Source organism: Homo sapiens, chromosome 6 (genome assembly GCF_000001405.40).
Source record: "Homo sapiens chromosome 6, GRCh38.p14 Primary Assembly".
NCBI lineage: Eukaryota > Metazoa > Chordata > Mammalia > Primates > Hominidae > Homo > Homo sapiens.
In genome coordinates this window covers 134,172,609-134,191,761 of record NC_000006.12, presented here as the reverse complement: position 1 = coordinate 134,191,761, position 19,153 = coordinate 134,172,609, and the positions used below count along the sequence as shown (strand labels likewise).

At 45.0% G+C, this 19,153-nt stretch overlaps 1 protein-coding gene across 5 annotated transcripts in view, besides 5 other annotated features; it reads left to right on the top strand.

Moving 5' to 3' along the window:
- SGK1 (serum/glucocorticoid regulated kinase 1) overlaps positions 1-19,153 on the top strand; it is a 148,857-nt gene that overhangs the window by 126,351 nt on the left and 3,353 nt on the right. The window contains exons 1-7 of one of the 5 annotated variants that reach the window (NM_001143677.2): positions 13,901-14,099; positions 17,176-17,251; positions 17,682-17,757; positions 18,196-18,300; positions 18,405-18,488; positions 18,608-18,739; positions 18,988-19,100. In NM_001143677.2, coding sequence (NP_001137149.1) covers positions 13,940-14,099; positions 17,176-17,251; positions 17,682-17,757; positions 18,196-18,300; positions 18,405-18,488; positions 18,608-18,739; positions 18,988-19,100 — 746 coding nt within the window. In that variant the 5' untranslated portion in view covers positions 13,901-13,939. Of the gene's footprint in view, positions 1-13,900; positions 14,100-16,047; positions 16,219-16,895; positions 17,031-17,175; positions 17,252-17,681; positions 17,758-18,195; positions 18,301-18,404; positions 18,489-18,607; positions 18,740-18,987; positions 19,101-19,153 lie in introns of those variants that run through there. The other 4 variants (NM_001143678.2, NM_005627.4, NM_001143676.3 and 1 more) reach the window with 4 other exon arrangements.
- Positions 15,937-16,231: a silencer, noted in NCBI's record as "tiled region #71; HepG2 Repressive DNase unmatched - State 1:Tss". NCBI's record gives its function as "represses a minimal TATA promoter and a strong SV40 promoter by Sharpr-MPRA in HepG2 cells {active_cell/tissue: HepG2}" and the evidence as "EXISTENCE:reporter gene assay evidence [ECO:0000049][PMID:27701403]".
- Positions 16,158-16,437: a silencer, noted in NCBI's record as "silent region_17558". NCBI's record gives its function as "represses an Ori minimal core promoter by ATAC-STARR-seq in GM12878 lymphoblastoid cells {active_cell/tissue: GM12878}" and the evidence as "EXISTENCE:reporter gene assay evidence [ECO:0000049][PMID:35858748]".
- Positions 16,158-16,947: a biological region, named in NCBI's record as "H3K27ac hESC enhancer GRCh37_chr6:134496091-134496592".
- Positions 16,308-16,809: an enhancer, noted in NCBI's record as "H3K27ac hESC enhancer chr6:134496091-134496592 (GRCh37/hg19 assembly coordinates)". NCBI's record gives its function as "activates a minimal SCP1, AML or CMV promoter by ChIP-STARR-seq in naive H9 embryonic stem cells {active_cell/tissue: H9 hESC(naive)}" and the evidence as "EXISTENCE:reporter gene assay evidence [ECO:0000049][PMID:30033119]".
- Positions 16,548-16,947: a silencer, noted in NCBI's record as "silent region_17557". NCBI's record gives its function as "represses an Ori minimal core promoter by ATAC-STARR-seq in GM12878 lymphoblastoid cells {active_cell/tissue: GM12878}" and the evidence as "EXISTENCE:reporter gene assay evidence [ECO:0000049][PMID:35858748]".

The window sequence follows — 19,153 nt, the reverse complement described above, 5'->3', positions numbered from 1 at the left end:
AGGAGGCAGAGGTTGCAGTGAGCCGAGATCACGCCACTGCACTCCAGCCTGGGCGACAGAGTGAGACTTCGTCTCAAAAAAAAAAAAACAAAAACAAAAAAACAAAACACCAAACACTATGCATAGTGTCTGCCACTTAGTATAATCGTTCAAGAAATGTCAGCTATTATAATAGGTGGACTTAACTGTGGAACTTAAAGAGAACATGTTCATTTCGCTGATAGGTATGTCCTTAGCACCACTGTAGTACCCGCCTTGAGAATGTGTAGAAGAGCTACTCCTTAAAAAACCTTCATGAGGATATTTGATCACAGCCTAACGAAGAACTTTAACGATTGATGCTAGTTGACAGTGGTAGAGATGGTTTGGGAAGTAGAGGTGATTCCAGCGAAAGATTAGAGAAAGACCTTAATAAATGGTTGTCAGGAATATTGTATGGGGGAAGGGGGATGTTCCTGTTTCTTAAGATTTTTTTGCCCTTGGTAAAAAGTCTGCTCATGATTTTATGAATAGCATAAAATGAGGCTAGTGGTGAAATACCCCAACTTTCGTGTAGACAGTAACTTTGAACTTTAAAACAAAGAGGGAGAAAAGCATTGAATATGCTGACTATGAACTGTCCTTTATACACATAAACACATGAATACAATAGTGCTAAGGTGAGCAGTGCACAGCATAGCTGTTGGGTTATTTTTAGAAATGGCAAAAATAAAGCCACATGCTTTTACCCAGTCTCTTTGTGAGACAAATAATCAGAAAGCAGTCTGCGAAAATCAGAAAGGATTGCTCTTCGACAAAAACATAATTGGCACATATGAGGAAGATAAGCACTCAGATTCAGTAGTATCATGTTCTAACAAGGCAACCTGTTTTAGACACTTACTATTATTCCTAGAAGTAATCCAGCTAAGTCTAGTGTGTCTGTTACCATCGTATGCCTCTTTCACATCTTATGTAAATGTACTTTCTAATATTTGTAATGTATGTAATATTAATTCTTTAACATTATTTTTAAGAAGAGATAGAAAAGGAATAGCAGTCCTGAGGGATTTTGCAAGGTCCCTTTCAACCTTTTAAAAACCTATAATCCTCAAGAAAATCAAAGCCCTAAGAAAAGATAATGGGAGGTGGGAAGAGAACAGTGACAAGGGGTGTTAAAAACTGTGTATGCCAGGAAGCTTGGCGTGGTGGCTCATGCCTATAATCCCAGTACTTTGGGAGGCTGAGGTGGGTGGATTACTTGAGGCCAGGAGTTCAAGACCAGTGTAGCCAATATGGCGAAACCCTGTCTCTACTAAAAATACAAAAATTAGCCATGCCTGGTGGTGTGCACCTGTAATCCCAGCTACTTGGGAGGCTGAGGCAGGAGAATCACTTGAACCCAGGAGGCGGAGTTTGCAGTGAGCCGAGATCATGCCACTGAACTCTAGCCTGGGTGATACAGCCAGACTCTATCTCAAAAAAAAAAAAAAAAGGAAGGAAGGAAGGAACTATGTATGACAGGGCCCCATTTCTGCTCTTTGATTGTTGTTTTCCCACTATAGAAGGAAAAGTCAAAGGGCCATCAGTTATGAATATAGGAGCAGATTGTAGATATAAAAACAGTACTTAGGGCCAGGTGCAGTGGCTCACGCCTGTAATTCCAGCACTTTGGGAGGCCAAGGCGGGCCGATCACTTGAGGTCAGGAGTTTAAGACCAGCCTGGCCAACATGGTGAAACCATGTCTCTACTAAAAATACAAAAATTAGCCGGGCATGGTGGCGCGTGCTTGTAATCCCAGCTACTCAGGAGGCTGAGGCAAGAGAATCACTTGAATCCGGAAGGCGGAGGTTGCAGTGAGCTGAGATGGTGCCATTGCACTCCAGCCTGGGTGACAGAGTGAGACTCCGTCTCAAAACAAACAAACAAAAAACAACCAAAAAAAACAGTACTTACAATGTGGTAAAGAGAGAAAAGGGAATACTTCTGCTTTTAAAAAGGAAAGTCAGGGCTTATTAAATACCTTGCTAAACTGGATTTATGTCAGTATATAATAAGGTATATAAACAACACGATTTGAAGAATGAACTTTAACTAGGTCTATTGTGATGATCTGTGCTTGTGCTCTAAGGAATTAGATTTTTAAGCAACACTTTATGAGTTGTGAAATAGAATAATTGTAGATACTAATTGATGGAAATAGTCTTATCTATTTGGCACAATCATTTGCTCTAAATAAGTAGAGAGTACGATGTAATTTTAAGCAAAATTGTATAAACAAATAATAAGTAATATTATAGTAGTAGCTTCTTGAAGTAACCATGTTTATGTAGTTTATAAGGTCAGACATTATGTATGATCCCCATCTTTTGCTCACATCTGTTTCATTTATTCTCTGTAATTTTCTTGTGGTCTTATACAAAAGCTTATTTTCATTCTTTTAGATTCCATTTGTATCTTCTGTGAAATGATGATTAGGGAACAAAGTTGGTGTTATCAGACACACAAAAATATATGTGTATATTTATATATACACACATGCACACGCACACGCACACACACACACACACACACACCTGTATAAAAGAGGTAGTTAATATGCAGTATCTGAAATGCTTGGCCCCAAACCATCAAACAATCCTCTGGGGATAACTAATCTTATTTGTTAAAGGGATTCTATAATCACAACTGAGAAACAAATAGTTTTATAAAAAGTGTCTGTAAAAAAAAATTGTCTGGGTTGCGTGAGTGGCTCACACCTGTATCCCAGCATTTTGGGAGACCAAGGTGGGAGGATCACTTGAGCCCAGGAGCTTGAGACCAGCCTGGGCAACATAGGAGATCCCTGTCTCAAAAAAAAAAAAAAAAAAAAAGAAAAAGAAATAGCTAGGCATGGTGGCATGTGCCTGTAGCCCCAGATACTCAGGAGGCTGAAGTGGGAGGATGACTTGAGCCCGGGAGGTTGAGGCTGCAGTGAGCCATGATCACACCACTGCACTCCAGCCTGGGTGACAAAGCAAGACCCTGACTCAAAAAAAAAAGTTGGCCAGGCGTGGTGGCTCTGAAATCTACTGTGTGCTAAGAAAATGAAGGTGTGGAATCCTCAGGAAATAAAAATCTTAGTGTTTATTGCTTAGTATGAAGTTGGTGGATTATTGTTTTCATGTCTCTGTGTGAGGTGAAGCCTGTGTGTCATACCCTCATGCTATGGGTAACACCGCTGAATTACTGATGCTATCATACATGTATATATCTCTATATATAAAATCACAAAATCACACAAGTGGACAGCTGCAGCACTGTGGTCTCTTTCTGGCAGGTCCCTGAAGGACAGTGCTGAAAAGATACCCGCACAGTGAGCAGAACCTCGAGCACCTGGTTGTTCATTTTGCTTGTAAGGAGAAATGGCCAGATATGCGATTATATACCAATTTATGGGCTGTGGCCAATAGTTTGGCTGGATGGTCAGAGACTTGGAAGGAACATGATTGGAAAATTGGTGACAAAGAAATTTGGGGAAGTGATCTGTGAATAGACCTCTCTGAATGAGCAAAAAAAAAAAGGTAAAGATATTTGTGTCCACATGAATTCTCAGCAAAGGGTGACCTCAGTAGAGGGGTATTTTAACAATCAAGTGGATAAGATGACCCATTCTGTGGATACCAAACAGCCCCTTTCCCCAACTACTCTTGCATCCAGTGAGCTCATAAACAAAGTAGCCATGGTGGCAAGGATGGAGGTTATGCATGGACTCAGCAACATGGACGTCCACTCACTAAGGCCAACCTGGCTACAGCCACTGCTGAGTGCCCAATCTGCCAGCAACAGAAATGAACACTGAGCCTCTGATATGGCACCTTTCCTCGGGGTGATCTGCCAGCCACCTGGTCGCAGGCTGATTATATTGGACAGCTTCCATCATGGAAGAAGCAGTGTTTTGTCCTTACTGCAGTAGACACTTATTCTGAATATGGATTTGCCTTCCTTGAACACAATGCTTCTGCCACAACTACCATCCATGGACTCCCAGAATGCCCTATCCCCTGTCATGGTATTCCACACAGACACAGCACTGCTTCTGATCAAGGAATACATTTTATAGCCAAAGAGAGGCAGCAATGGGCCCATGCTCCTGGAATTCACTGGTCTTAACCATGTTTCCCATCATCCTGGAGCAGCTGGGTTAATAGAATGAATGGTGTAATGGCCTTTTGAAGTTACGGTGATGATTTTTTTGCATGGCTGGTGCAAGGTTCTCCAGAAAGTTGTATATGCTCTGAATCAACATCCAGTATATGGTGCTGCTTCTCCCATAGCCAGGATCCACAGGTCCAGAAATGGAAGGGGTGGAAGGGGTGGAAATGGGAGTGGCACCACTCACTATTCCCCCTAGTGACCCATTGGAAACATTTTTGCTTTCTGTTCCCACGACTTTATGATCTGCAGGCCTGGAGGTCTTAGTTCCAGAGGGAGGAGTGCTTCCGGAGACACAACAATGATTCCATTGAACTGGAAGTTAAGACTACCACCCAGCCACTTTGGGATCCTCATGCCTCTGAATCAAAAAGCTAAGAAGGGAGTTATGATGTTGGCTGGAGTAACTGATTCAAAATACTAGGGAGAAATTGGACTACTATTCCACAATGGAGATAAAGAAGTGTATGTCTGCCAGGAACGGTGGCTCACACCTGAAATCCCAGAACTTTGGGAGGCCGAGGCGAGCAGATCATTTGAGGTTAGGAGTTCGAGACCAGCTTGACCTACATACTGAAACCCCGTCTGTACTAAAATACAAAAATTAGCCGGGCATAGTGGTGGGTGCCTGTAATCCCAGCTACTCGGGAGGCTGAGGCAGGAGAATTGCTTGAACCCAGGAGGCAGAGGTTGCAGCAAGCCGAGATCACACCCATGCACTCCAGCCTGGGCGACACAGTGAGACTGCGTCTCAAAAAAAAAACCAAAAAAAAAACCCAGAAGTGTATGTCTGAAATACAGGAGATCCCTTAGGATGTCTCTTAGTATTACCATGTCCTGTGATTAAGGTCAATGAGAAATTACAACAACTCAATCTGAGTAAGTCTGTGAATGGCCCAGACTCTTCAGAAATGTAGGTTTGGGTCACCTGCCACATAAAGAACCACAATCAACTGAGGTTCTTGTTGAAGGTAAAGGAAATATAGAATGGGTGGTAAAGGAAGGTAGTTATAAATACCAGCTATGATCACGTGACCAGTTACAGAACCAAGCACTGCAACTGTGATGAGTATTTCCTCCCTGTTTTGTTAAGAATATGTTGTGCGTCTATGTACATATATTAATATCTTTGTTTTCATTCTTCTCTTATGTCTTTATCATGTAACACATTTATTGACTTTATATCAGTATTTACAAGATTTATTGACTTTATGTCAGTATTTAAGTATTGTTAATTTTATATCATAGTATTTAAGTTATGGGATATCAGCAGAAGAGTAAACATCACCCAAGGACTTTACCTTCTCTTCTGGGGAAGGGACTGGTATGTTTTCTGTTGTACACAGAACAGGTGCATTATATTAGGTAGAATTATCACTTTGCTATTGTCTTTATTTGGAGATTAAGTGTGATACAAAGAGATGTGTAATGGCTGCCAAGTTGAAAGGTGAGAACGTGTGATGGTTAATTTTAAGTGTCAACTTGACTGGATTAAGGAATACGTAGAGAACTGGCAAAGCATTATTTTGGGGTGTGGCCTTAAGGGTGCCTCCAAAGGAGACTGATGTGTGAGTCTGGGTGGACTAAGTAGAAAAGACCCGCCCCCACTAATGCGGGGACAGGGGGGTGTGGGGGGTAGTGTCCAATCGCTTGGGAGCCTAGATAGAACCGTGGGTAGGTCACTCACTCTCCTGGAACTGGGATACATGCTTCTTCTCCGGCCTTCGGACATCAGGTTCTCCAGCCTTTGGCCTTTGGACGCTAGGACTTACACCAGCAGCCCCCGGATTCTCAGTTCTTCAGATTTGGACTGAGCCATGCTAGTGGCATCCCAGGGTCTCCAGCTTGCAGACAGCCTGCCATGGGATTTCTCAGCTTTCATAATTGTATGAGCCAATTCCCCTAATAAATCTCCTCTCTTCTCTTTCTCTTTCTCCATCTCTTTCTCTGTCTCCCTCTAGATATATCCTATTGGTTTTGTCTCTCCAGAAAACTAATACACACACACACACACACACACACACACACACACTCATAGAGATATGAAAGTGTAGTTTCATATCTTAACTTGGCACTAAGCATTTGTACCACTTGCATATGTGCTGTGGCTTTTGTCATTTCTGACAACCTGATGGCCATTCTGCTATGGCTTTAAAACTACTTTGTCCAGGCTGGGACTGCACAATAGGGGCCCTTTTATCAAGTCCTTATCATTGTGTAGAGAAGGCTATTTTGGGAGGATATAAAGGGATATAAAGTAGAAGGGGGTTGTGCTAAATGTTCATTCAGGCTTTCTGGCAATACAAAAATTATGGAGAACTTCATGGCTGCAAGACAGAAAGAAAACAGTCTATGAGGTGACTGTGTCATCCCCTGGCAGGAAGAAAAGTTCTAAAGTTCTTGAGGAAAGTTGGTTGGATGACAAGAGTAAAACAGGTTACAATGGCATACTTTTCTATAAGCCAAATTCATATGATATCGTCCATAGAGGGGGTTTAATGCAAACCATTATGAAAGCATTTTATTTCTCAAGCACTTCCTGTGGGCTAGGCCCTCTCCTGGGCACCAGGGATGATGTGGCAAATAATATAGATAATTATTCCGGCCAGGGTCGGTGGCTTATGCCTATAATCCCAGCACTTTGGGAGGCTTAGGTGTGCGGATCACTGGAGCCCAGGAGTTCGAGACCAGCCTGGCTAACACCGCAAGACCTCATCTCTACAAATAATATAAAATATAAGCCAGGCATGGTGGCACACACCTGTGGTCCCAACTACTAGAGAGGCTGAGGTGGGAAGATTGCTTGAGCCCGGGAGGCAGAGGTTGTGGTGAGCCGTGATTACAGCCCTGCACTCCAGACTGCGGGACAGAACAAGACCCTGTCTTAAACAAACAAACATGATATCCCTATCTCATAGAGACTACTTTCTAGTTGGGTAAATCAACAATAAACCCAGAAAAAGTCACATAATAAAACTAATATGCAGATAATTGAAATAGAGTGAATGACAAAGAAAGGTCAGCTGCTGGCTACTTTTGGTCCACTGCGTCACTGTGATTTTTTTTTTTTTTTTTTTTTTTTTGAGATGGAGTCTCACTCTGTCACCCAGGCTGGAGTGCAGTGATGTGATCTCGGCTCACTGCGGCCTCTGCCTCCTGCGTTCAAGCAACTCTCCTGCCTCAGCCTCCCAAGTAGCTGGGACTACAGGCGCGCACCACCACGCCCAGCTAATTTTTGTATATATTTTTTTTAAGTAGGGACGGGGTTTCACCATGTTGGCCAGAATGGTCTTGATCTCCTGACCTCGTGATCTGCCCGCCTCAGCCTCCCAAAGTTCTGATATTACAGGCGTGAGCTACTGCTCCCGGCCTGTAAGTGATATTTACTGGGAGATCCGAATGACAAGAAGGAGCCAGCCATGTGAGCCTGAGGAGGAAAGCATTCCAGGTGAAGGGCACAGCAAAGACAAAGTCCCTCGGGCAGACACTAGCTTGGCCTGCAAAGGGAACAGAGAGCACCACAGTGGTACAAACCTGGAGGGAGGGAGAAGGTAGGAGGAGAGGTCAGAGGGGCAGGCAGCGACCTGATTAGAGAATGTTAGGCAGGTGAGAGACACAAATTGTGCTGCCTGGCCTTCAGGGAACTCAAGGTCCAGAGAAACACCTGAGATTTAAATAACTAAGCACACAAATTCCTGACCGAAGGATCCAATGCCGGGGGTGGGGGGTGGGGGTGGGGTGGGGACAGGTTCTTCTAAAGGATCAGCTGGGTGTGGGACATTATTATAGGAAACCATGCCAGGAGAGTAGTTCTGGGCCTCCAGAAGTTCCTTCTGGGTTTATTTTTTTTCCCAGACATCATAGAACTGTACAAAATCAGAGCTGCAGAAGACTTTCCAGCACATTCCTCACTTGAAAAACTAGATAATCTAAATGATCAAACGTGCCCAAGGCTGTACTTTAATGACATTAAGGCATAGCGGGGCCTGAGGAAAATCAGAAATGTCTATAAGCTCACCTTTGCTTTTGGGAACGTGCAGTTCCATTTTACAAAATATAGACCACACCCTCCCTGAGTACAGCAACGCTGCCCATCATGACATCCTTGTTAGATTCAGGGCTTAAGACAGTGCCTGTCAAGAACCCATTCACATTAATGGGTACAAAGTACAGCTAGATAGATGGAATAAGTTCTAGCATTCGATATGGCAGTAGGGAAATCAGAGTTAACAATAAGTTATTGTATATTGCCAAACAGTTAAAAGGGAAGAATTAGCATGTTCTCAACACAAAGAAAAAATAAATGTTTGAGATGACGGATATCCCAATTATCCTAATTTCATCATTACACATTGTATACATGTTTCAAAATACCATGTTACCCCAAAATATGTTCATCAACTTATATCAATACAATAAATCAGTAAATGAAAGAGGTGCACCACAGAGATCTGAATGATTAAAACTAACAGAGGCTAGGTTCAGCTGGATCTTGTTCCTCTTCTCATTCCTGCAGGATAAGCTTATTGACCTAGAAAAAGCACGATAAGTATGACTGGCCTCTGATCTTCTTTCAATGACTCCACCCTCTCAATAGGTCTATATTTGCCTTCTGTTGTTTCCTCGAGCAAGTAAAAACTTTCTTGAGTTAGTTTTGGTTTGCTCTCCACTTTTTTCACACTAAACTTCAGTCTTTGCTGCAAACACTTGGTAAACAAGTCTTTATTCAGTAATCATGGCATTTCGTTTCTTGATACAGCACATTCAGGAGCACTGTCTGTGAGGGAGACTGAATGGAGGAGGGGGAGGTTGGATTATCATTCAGGCCTTTCACGGAATTCCTGTCACATAGGCCTCGCCTTGGCCCAGCAGATTAAGTGGCCCATGCTGTGCAAGTGCCTTACTCACAGCCCATAATTACTTGATGTATTGTTTTGATTTGTTGGAACCCTTTGCACTGTGCGACAGTGTTGTTTGTACTTGTGATGTGCGTAGGGTGGGGCTGGCAAATATACACAGATCATATTTTCTACTTAAAACTCCAACATGAGAGAGGCGCTTACTAAATTCTTTATTTCCTTTTTTTTTTTTTTAGACGGAGTCTCGCTGTGTTGCCCGGGCTGGAGTGCAGTGGCATAATCCCAGCTCACTGCAACCTCTGCCTTCCAGGTTCAAGTGATTTCTGGCTAATTTTTGTATTTTTAGTAGAGACGGGGTTTCACCATGTTGGCCTGCTGGTTTCGAACTCCTGACCTCAAGTGACCCACCCACCTTGGCCTCCCAAAGTGCTAGGATTACAGGCATAAACCATCACACCTGGCCTATTTCCATTATTTTTCACAACTTATATGAGGCAGGTATAACTCTCCCCGCTATACAGCTGACAAGATTAAGGGTTAGAGAATACCTTGTCTAAAATCTCACAGGTATGGCTAGGCACAGTGGCTCACACTTGTAATCCCAGCACTTTGGGAGGCTGAGGAGGACAGATCACTTGAGCTCAGGAGTTTGAGATCAGCCTGACCAACATGGTAAAACCCTGTCTCTACTAAAAATACAAAAATTAGTCGGGCGTGGTGGCAGGTGCCTGTAATCCCAGCTACTTGAGAGTCTGAGGCATGAGAATCACTTGAACCTGGGAGGCGGAGGTTGCAGTAAGCCAAGATTGCGCCACTGCACTTCAGCCTGGGTGATGAAGTGAGACTCCATATCAAAACAAAACAAAACAAAAAAAACTCACAGGTAGCAAGCCTCAGTTGTCGCCAACTAGACTGACATCCCCATAACTGGTTTTTCCATTGCTGGTTACTATTACATGTATCTTTTGTTGTTACAACTGGCACACAGAGTTTACAGGAAACAGTCCTTAAGTCCTTAGGGGTGGCCCGAGCTTCTGTTGCCTCCTTCTAGATTGATTATAGGCTCAGAAATGGGAGAGACTTGGGCCGGGCATGGTGGCTTATGCCTGTAATCCCAGCACTTTGGGAGGCTGAGGCAGGTGGATCACTTGAGGTCAGGAATCCGAGACCAGTCTGATCAACATGGTGAATCCCCATCTCTACTAAAAGTACTCAAATTAACTGGGAGTAGTGGCACGTGCCTGTAATCCCAGCTACTCAGGAGGCTGAGGCGGGAGAATTGCTTGAACCAGGGAAGCAGAGGGTGCAGTGAGCTGAGATCACGCCACTGCACTCCAGTCTGGGCGACAGAGTAAGACTCCTCCGTCTCAAAAAAAGAAAAAGAAAGAAAGAAAACAAACGGGAGAGACTTGGAGAGAGATTTATACTGAGCAAATCAAAGCTTTCAGGTTTCACTTTAGTTTGACAAAAGATGTCCACCAGAAATCCAGACTCCTTATTTACTATTGGCCCTTTGTAAATAAAGTGGGGGTGAAAGAGAGCCCTTTATATTGCCTTCGTGTCAGTTACACCTTTAATATGTGTGTCTTAGGAAGGATTCTGGCTGCTGGACTTGTGGGGGAAGTAGATGCCCACGTAGTTTTACCTTGGAGAGAATGGAGAGGAGGCCGACCAGGCCAGATATTGCGGGAGGCCTCTCACCCCAAAGCTCTCAGACCTGTTTCTTGTTTGAATGCTTGACATTTTATCATTGCAAATTAAATTTTTTGAGTTGACAAGTGGCCTTTTAAAATGCAAATGCCTAACAGTAAAGGCATGCCAAAAATATAAGGCCAGAGTCCTTTTTTTTTTTTTTTTGAGATAGGATCTCACTTTGTTGCCCCGGCGAGAGTGCAGTGGCAAGATCTTGGCTCACTGAAACCTCCAACACCCTGGGCTCAAGCGATTCTCCCACCTTAGCCTCCCATGTAGCTGGGACTACAGGCGTGCCACCATGTATGGATAATTTTTGTATTTTTTGTAGAGACAGGGTCTCACTATGTTGCCCAGGCTGGTCTCAAACTCCTGAGCTCAAGTGATCCTCCTGCTTCAACCTCCCAAAGTGCTGGGATTAGAGGTGTGAGCCCCTGCACCTGGCCACCACAGTCCTCTTGAGTTTACCAATAGTATTAAATATTGACTTACAAATTTTTCCAATTTACTCTTCTGTCCAGACCAATGTATCATTTTTCATAATCTTATGTAAAGTTCTGTGGACACCATTTTCCAGGTCAATCCTGAGAACCAAAAATAAAGTTGTCACATACATACAATTCCTTACCTATCATATTGCATTCTAGCTGATGTTTTGTTTTTTTAATCATTGATTGGATTATACTAAATCAGACATTGACAACATTGCCAAGATGGAGATGGGTAAGTTTTCAGCCTGAGAAAGATCTGTTTGTTTCTTGCTATGTAGATTCTCATTCCTCAGGTGAGGCGCAGTGGCTTATACTTATAATCCCAGCACTTTGGGAAGCTGAGGCAGGAGGATCATTTGAGCCCAGGAGTTTGAGACCAGCCTGGGCAACACAGTGAGACCATGTGTCTACAAAAGATAAAAACATTAACCAGGCATGGTGGCATGTGCCTGTGGTCCCAGCTACTCAGGAGTCCGAGGTGGGAGGATTACTTGAACCCAGGAGGTTGAGGCTGCAGTGAGCTGTGACTGTACCACTGTACTCTAGCCTGGACAACAGAGTGAAACTCTATGTCAAAAACAAAAACAAACAAACAAAAAAAGCTTCTCATTCCTCCCATGTCAAGTATTCCCACTGGCTTCTCTTTAATTTATCCCCTGAATGACATAAAAAATTTACTACCAAATCTTGTTCCTACCCTCCCGTCAATTTTCCTATGGGCTCACTTTTTAGAAGGAATGGGTGTAGAATATTATCACCTCTGTCTTGGAAAAAATATAAACCCTGCGATAAATGAAATAATTAGTTTTGTGGGTTTTAATAACTTTTAACACTATGATTAGAGATAGTGTTCTCTTAGTTATCTACTGTATCACATCTTTTTGCATGTCAAATTTGACAATTATGAATATGGAAGGTAATAATTACTATACAACCTGTGTCTATAAATAGACATTTAAATAACCACCATTGCCAGTGACTTGTCTATAATAGCTATAATGAATAAACTCATTTGTCATCATCATTTTCTGTAAAAAAAAAAAAAAAAAAAGACATGCCTTTGCTGACAACCTTCAACAAAAACTGATCCATTCAGTTTCTCTCTAGAGTAATAATTATGTTTTCTATAATTATAATAATTATGTTTTCTGGTATTTCTATGAGCTTTTTTGAGGGTGTTCCAGGGAAAGGTTTCTGTGAGCATCAAACAATGAATCAAAAAGTATGGGAACTTAAACTCTTCATAGGATTGTTCTAAAATTGATGGTACTTTGAACAATATGAAACAATTATATTGCCTTGTTATCAATGGAAGATAACATACCCGGGGAATCATGACAATTACAGCTGATACATTTAAGAAGTGTCTTAAGAGTGAATATGGTTAAGTCCTTATAAAAAATATTTTTCAAAATATTTTCTCTAATATGTTGAGAAATATCAATAATTTATAAGCCTTTTAAAATTAAATGGAAAAAGTCATATCTTTGTGAAGCTCTCAGGTTTTAGCATTTATAGTCCATCAGACTATAGAGTGACAAATAAAGAAATAAAAAAATAAAATAGAAGAGTGAAAAAATTTTTTCTGAAGCATTAAAATGCACATGCACTGGGAAACGTTTAGTTTCAGTGCAAACTTTTCATCCTGGTCAGTCATTCCTACTTGAGGGTTTTGACTGCAGTTTTCCCAGCACCGAGACATAAATGTGAGACAATTCGCTTGGAGGAGTGGGGAGGTAATTAGCCTATCTCCTATCAAGCCGTCTATATTTTCTATGACTGCACAAGGTGTTGTAGAGAAATTCCCTGGACCAATAGAACCTCAGGAGACAAGTGGGGGAAGCCGCGTATACGCGTATATGGAGCAAGTTCTCCCAGAGAACTCGATCGCCCTCTAGGTTGCATTTACAAACAGTTCGGGAGGCTACTCGGACCACTTCGCCACCAGGGAGTATGAGGAAAGGGGCCGGATTCCTCCCAGTAGGAGGACTATCTGGACCAAAGAAAGAGGCTGGCGACAGGAAGGAAGAACAGATCAAGAGTTTGAATAGCAGCTACAGGGCAACCTAATGCCTGTGCAGTGTTAACAGGCGCGCGTCACACACAGCTCCCCCGTCTCCCCCTCCCCTCAAGCACCCCTCCGCCGTGTGTCACCTTCCTGTTCGGAAGTCTTAGTAGGTTGCTGGGACAGAACAGGGGGCGCCTGCTCCACCCATCACGTATCCGGTTGGAAGAAAAGCCAGTCTCAACAACTTGATTCTCTCGGTTAAATGATAAGTTTAGCCGACCATCCGTCTCCAAGTGCTGAACATTAGGGTAGGGGAGGAAGGAGCACATCAGACGTTCCCTTTCTTTTCCAACCACAAATCATACGGTTGCATCTATTCTCTATTCCGCGTAGAACCCTCCGACCTGAATGCCACGTTCCTCCCGGAATGCATGCCACAGAGCCTCTGAGAAAATAAATCCTGTGCATGTGTTTTGAATTTTTTCCGGACTGATTTGTGAGGATAATCAGTTAAGTTACATTTCTTGTGTGCGTGCTGGGGGTGTAATAAAGCTAGGACACTGATGACTGTAATTTTCTGAGTGATGTCGCAATGGGGAGAATAAATGGCCCAGTGTTGAACTTTGCAGCTTGCTCCCTTCCTGTACTTAAATTGCCTTGATATAAAGTGGGGTTCATAACAGAACAGGGATAGCCGTCTCTGGCTCGTGCTCTCATGTCATCTCAGAGTTCCAGCTTATCAGAGGCATGTAGCAGGGAGGCTTATTCCAGCCATAACTGGGCTCTACCTCCAGCCTCCAGAAGTAATCCCCAACCTGCATATCCTTGGGCAACCCGAAGAATGAAAGAAGAAGCTATAAAACCCCCTTTGAAAGGTTCGTACTTACCGTACTATATTTTGCAGATGCCTCAAAGGATTTGGGGTTACTTGGCATGGGGAAGGCACATAAGGTGGGGTGTAGGAGAGGGTCTCTGGTTGTAGGTTTCTTAATTTAATGTTTGAAAACAAACATGCAAAAGTCTGTGTGCAGGTTGATGTTTCTGGGCAGCCTGAGCAAAATTTGCTCTCTCAAGAGGGAAAGGAACCAGGTGGGAGCAGAGCTAGGCTGGGCTAGGCTAGTTGAATGGTGGGACATGACATACGGGTGGCACTGGCAATAACAAAGTCACATTCTATGAAGATTCCCTGCAAGAGGAAGCAGACATGGGCCAGTTACTGTGATTTGAAATTGCCTAAACATTGCTTTAGGTTGGCATGTCAATTTCAGGTACTAGTGTTTTTTTTGTTTTTGTTTTTGTTTTGTTTTTGTTTGTTTGTTTGTTTTGAGACGGAGTCTCGCTCTGTTGCCAGGCTGGAGTGCAGTGGCGTGATCTCGGCTCACTGCAACCTCCGCCTCCCGGGTTCAAGCGATTCTCCTGCCTCAGCCTCCCGAGTAACTGGGACTACAGGCGCACGCCACCACGCCTGGCTAATTTTTCTATTTTCAGTAGAGACGGGGTTTCACCATGTTAGCCAGGATGGTCTCGATCTCTTGACCTCGTGATCCGCCCGCCTTGGCCTCCCAAAGTGCTGGGATTACAGGCGTGAGCCACTGCGCCCGGCCCCAGTAAATGCTTTTTATAAGTGTGGGCACTGAGCAAACTTTCCCAGCCAGACTCCAGGAGAGAGAATGTGTTTCCCTTCTCTCGGTTTGGGGCTGTTGCAACAAAGCAAACCAAGGAGTTGAGACTAGAGCTCACTTTAGGGCAAGTGGGGGTGGTTTTGCCTGCAAAACAAACCCCTGCCCAAGACCAAGGAAAAGGCGTTTCACATGCTATTCCTGGTTTGACAGCTGGTATTTCGGGACTGTGCCAGATCCAGTAGGCAACTTTAAAATGGCAGAGCCTTTGGTAGCAAGAGGTCATGGCAGGGCAGCCACCGCAGACAGCAACAGCGAGCGCCAGGTACCTGGCCCTGCGAATAGTGGTAACTTGTAACTGCCCGCTCCGGGCCCAGTCGCCGTGCTCGCGGCTTCCCGGCCAGCACTGGCTCACGTCCCCGCGCCGGCGGTCAGGCTGCGGCTCCCAGACATCCCCCAGCCGCGGGGTTACTGGAAGGCACCGGCATCGCTGTTCTGCAGAGCCCGGGCCGCCGCCTCGAGCTTCCCTCTCTTCCCTGCCTTCTGCAGCGGAGTCACCCGGCTAATCTTTCAGGATAAAGTCACAGTTTATGTGGGACTCACATAAAGAGCGAGCGAGGTGGCAAAACTAAGAAGCCCTGGGGCAGCCTTGAGTTAAACCCAGGGAGGGTAGGGACGATTTTAAGACCATGTATCATGACCTGCAGGGTTTTCAGGTGGGACAGCGGGAGAGGAGCAGGCCCCACAGAGGAATCGAGGATGCCCGGTTCACGCCAGGTCTGCCCCCGGGCAAAGCTACCCCTCCCTTCGCTTGTTACCTCCTCACGTGTTCTTGGCATGGCAGAGATTAAAAATGCAAGGAAAAAAATTACATGCGGAACGGACAAAATGTTCTCAGAGATTACTTCAGAAAAAAAAAAGTGAAATGCAGATTGTACTTCTTCCTTTAGTGCAGAGACGACTTTTATTTCCGCCCCCTCCCCTCCACATTCCTGACCTCTCCCTCCCCCTTTTCCCTCTTTCTTTCCTTCCTTCCTCCTCTTCCAAGTTCTGGGATTTTTCAGCCTTGCTTGGTTTTGGCCAAAAGCACAAAAAAGGCGTTTTCGGAAGCGACCCGACCGTGCACAAGGGCCATTTGTTTGTTTTGGGACTCGGGGCAGGAAATCTTGCCCGGCCTGAGTCACGGCGGCTCCTTCAAGGAAACGTCAGTGCTCGCCGGTCGCTCTCGTCTGCCGCGCGCCCCGCCGCCCGCTGCCCATGGGGGAGATGCAGGGCGCGCTGGCCAGAGCCCGGCTCGAGTCCCTGCTGCGGCCCCGCCACAAAAAGAGGGCCGAGGCGCAGAAAAGGAGCGAGTCCTTCCTGCTGAGCGGACTGGGTAAGCGCCGCCGCCGGCCCCGCTGGGGGCTTGGCTCACTTCCCCAGAGCGGCTTGGAGGCAGGGGCCGGCTTTCGTCGGAGTTCTCGGGGCCGGGGTCCCGGCGGCGGGAACGGGAGGACCTGGCGGGCGAGGTCGCGCGCGCAGGCCTGCGCCCCAGGGATAAACCCCGGAGGGTGGCGCGCACCGCCGGCTCGGGTTGGGGAGGAGGGTGGGAGTCCGGCCGCAGGACGGCGCCTGGCCGGGGAGAGGGTATCTGCAGGGACAGTGAGCGAAGCCACCGTGGCCGCCGCGCACCCGCCGGGAAGCGCTTCGGCGCTGCGAACCCGGCTTTCTCCGGCGGCGGAATAAATGAGAGAGGTGGAAAACTACCCCGGGCTCTCCGGCCCTCCCCGCGCCCTCCGCCGGCGCGTTCTCTCTCTCCTGCCCCAGGAGCCGATGGAGACTGATAACGGCCCTGCGCCAGGCCGTCCCCGGGCGGTCCTCGCGCCCCCGCCCGGGGCTCGCCCTCTCAATGGGGACAGAACCGCCCGCCGCAGGCAGCGTAGCCGCCAGCAAACCGCGAGGCGGCCGGGGCGGGGCGAGGGGCGAGGCGAAGGGCGGGGCCACTTCTCACTGTCGCGCAGGCCCCGCCCCCGCGGCGGTGCCTTTTTTATAAGGCCGAGCGCGCGGCCTGGCGCAGCATACGCCGAGCCGGTCTTTGAGCGCTAACGTCTTTCTGTCTCCCCGCGGTGGTGATGACGGTGAAAACTGAGGCTGCTAAGGGCACCCTCACTTACTCCAGGATGAGGGGCATGGTGGCAATTCTCATCGGTGAGTGCAGGAATCTTGCGGGACTTCTGCTCCAGGAGACGCAAAGTGGAAATTTTTTGAAAGTCCCGGATCAGATTAGTGTGTGTGGCGCCGGACGTTATGAAGCCGTCTAAACGTTTCTTTATTTCTCCTCCTTCATCCACAGCTTTCATGAAGCAGAGGAGGATGGGTCTGAACGACTTTATTCAGAAGATTGCCAATAACTCCTATGCATGCAAACAGTAAGTTTGACCGGATTTGAGGAAATAACTAGTATAGTTTGAATTTGCCAGCGGTAAACATTCTCATCACGGCGTTTATCGGGAAGGCGAAGACTTCTTCTGGGGTGGGGATCTCATTTCTCCTTAAATTCTAATATATTTGACACATTTTAAACATTAAAGTTAATTTGCTGATTTGGCTTGAACTGGAGATGTAAGATAAATGGTTCGTGTTGGCCGAATTCACGGCCTTTCTCCATGAGCAACAATCCTTATTTCTGTATTTAATGGGGTTTATTATTTTCTTTAACTGACTAATGTATTGGGGTATTTTCAGTTTAAACAGTGAATTATCCGGGTAGAAGTCGGTAGAGCCAGAAACTCACTTTTGATGTTGGTGTGCCCCCTAGTGGCGAGCTGGATTCTAAATCGTGCCCTTTATTCCCTGCAGCCCTGAAGTTCAGTCCATCTTGAAGATCTCCCAACCTCAGGAGCCTGAGCTTATGAATGCCAACCCTTCTCCTCCAGTAAGTTTTTGTATGTGCCGTGCATCTGTGGAGAACTGTAAGGGAGTCAGTTAGTATTCCTACATTAATGGATTAAAATAGCATTTCTAGAAATTAGTATCAAGGCAGGAATGCTTCATTATGGCATAACAAGTGATATAAATATTTAAGTATTGAGTCAGAGTATTATTTTATTTTTTTCCTGGGCATATTTTACCTCCAAAGTGGTTATTTTAAAAGGCATATTTCATAAAAAGGTTTTATCTGTCTGAAACAACATGACTGTGTGCAGTTTCCATACTCATTTGAAATGTGATGAAATGTAGTTTTGAATGTTTATAGATGTATGGTCATTTGCATCAGTCATTTGTAGATGTAACATTTTCTACATCGTTTATGTTATAGATGTCTTCCTTTGAAGCAATGGTATTAAAAGAAATTCTTTTTTTTTTTTTCTAGCCAAGTCCTTCTCAGCAAATCAACCTTGGCCCGTCGTCCAATCCTCATGCTAAACCATCTGACTTTCACTTCTTGAAAGTGATCGGAAAGGGCAGTTTTGGAAAGGTAATTTCAAATCTGAAGATCTTTTGGTACACTTCCTTCATGTCCTCTTTTGTATTCTCCCTGGATGAGGATAGAAAAATGATTTTTTTAAATTGAAATTTCAGGTTCTTCTAGCAAGACACAAGGCAGAAGAAGTGTTCTATGCAGTCAAAGTTTTACAGAAGAAAGCAATCCTGAAAAAGAAAGAGGTATGAGATGTGCTTGATGGGGCTGGCATTGGCGGTAGACACTCCTTGAATAATCTTGATTCTGGAATGTTGGTGCCAAGTTGAAACATGCCACTAAATCTGAATCGTCATTTTCCTAGGAGAAGCATATTATGTCGGAGCGGAATGTTCTGTTGAAGAATGTGAAGCACCCTTTCCTGGTGGGCCTTCACTTCTCTTTCCAGACTGCTGACAAATTGTACTTTGTCCTAGACTACATTAATGGTGGAGAGGTGAGCAGGGGGGATAGAAGTCAACTCTTAGTGTCTCTGCACAGCCTGCTTTGTTTTAGTTTGAGAAAAAAGTTTTCAAAGATTTTTGGTGGGGAGAATGTTACCAGAATTAGCATTTCCTTCAACCTGTCAGGTTTATAGTTAATAGATTACTTGGGGCCACTTCCTGCAGTTGTTCTTTTGCTGTGTATGTCAAAACTAATTAAATTCATTTGCAACCCAGAATGACTTTGTTCTGTCTCCTGCAGTTGTTCTACCATCTCCAGAGGGAACGCTGCTTCCTGGAACCACGGGCTCGTTTCTATGCTGCTGAAATAGCCAGTGCCTTGGGCTACCTGCATTCACTGAACATCGTTTATAGGTAAGCCTGAGAGCTCTTCAGGCTACCAGTTTTGGTATAAAGGAGACGTAGCA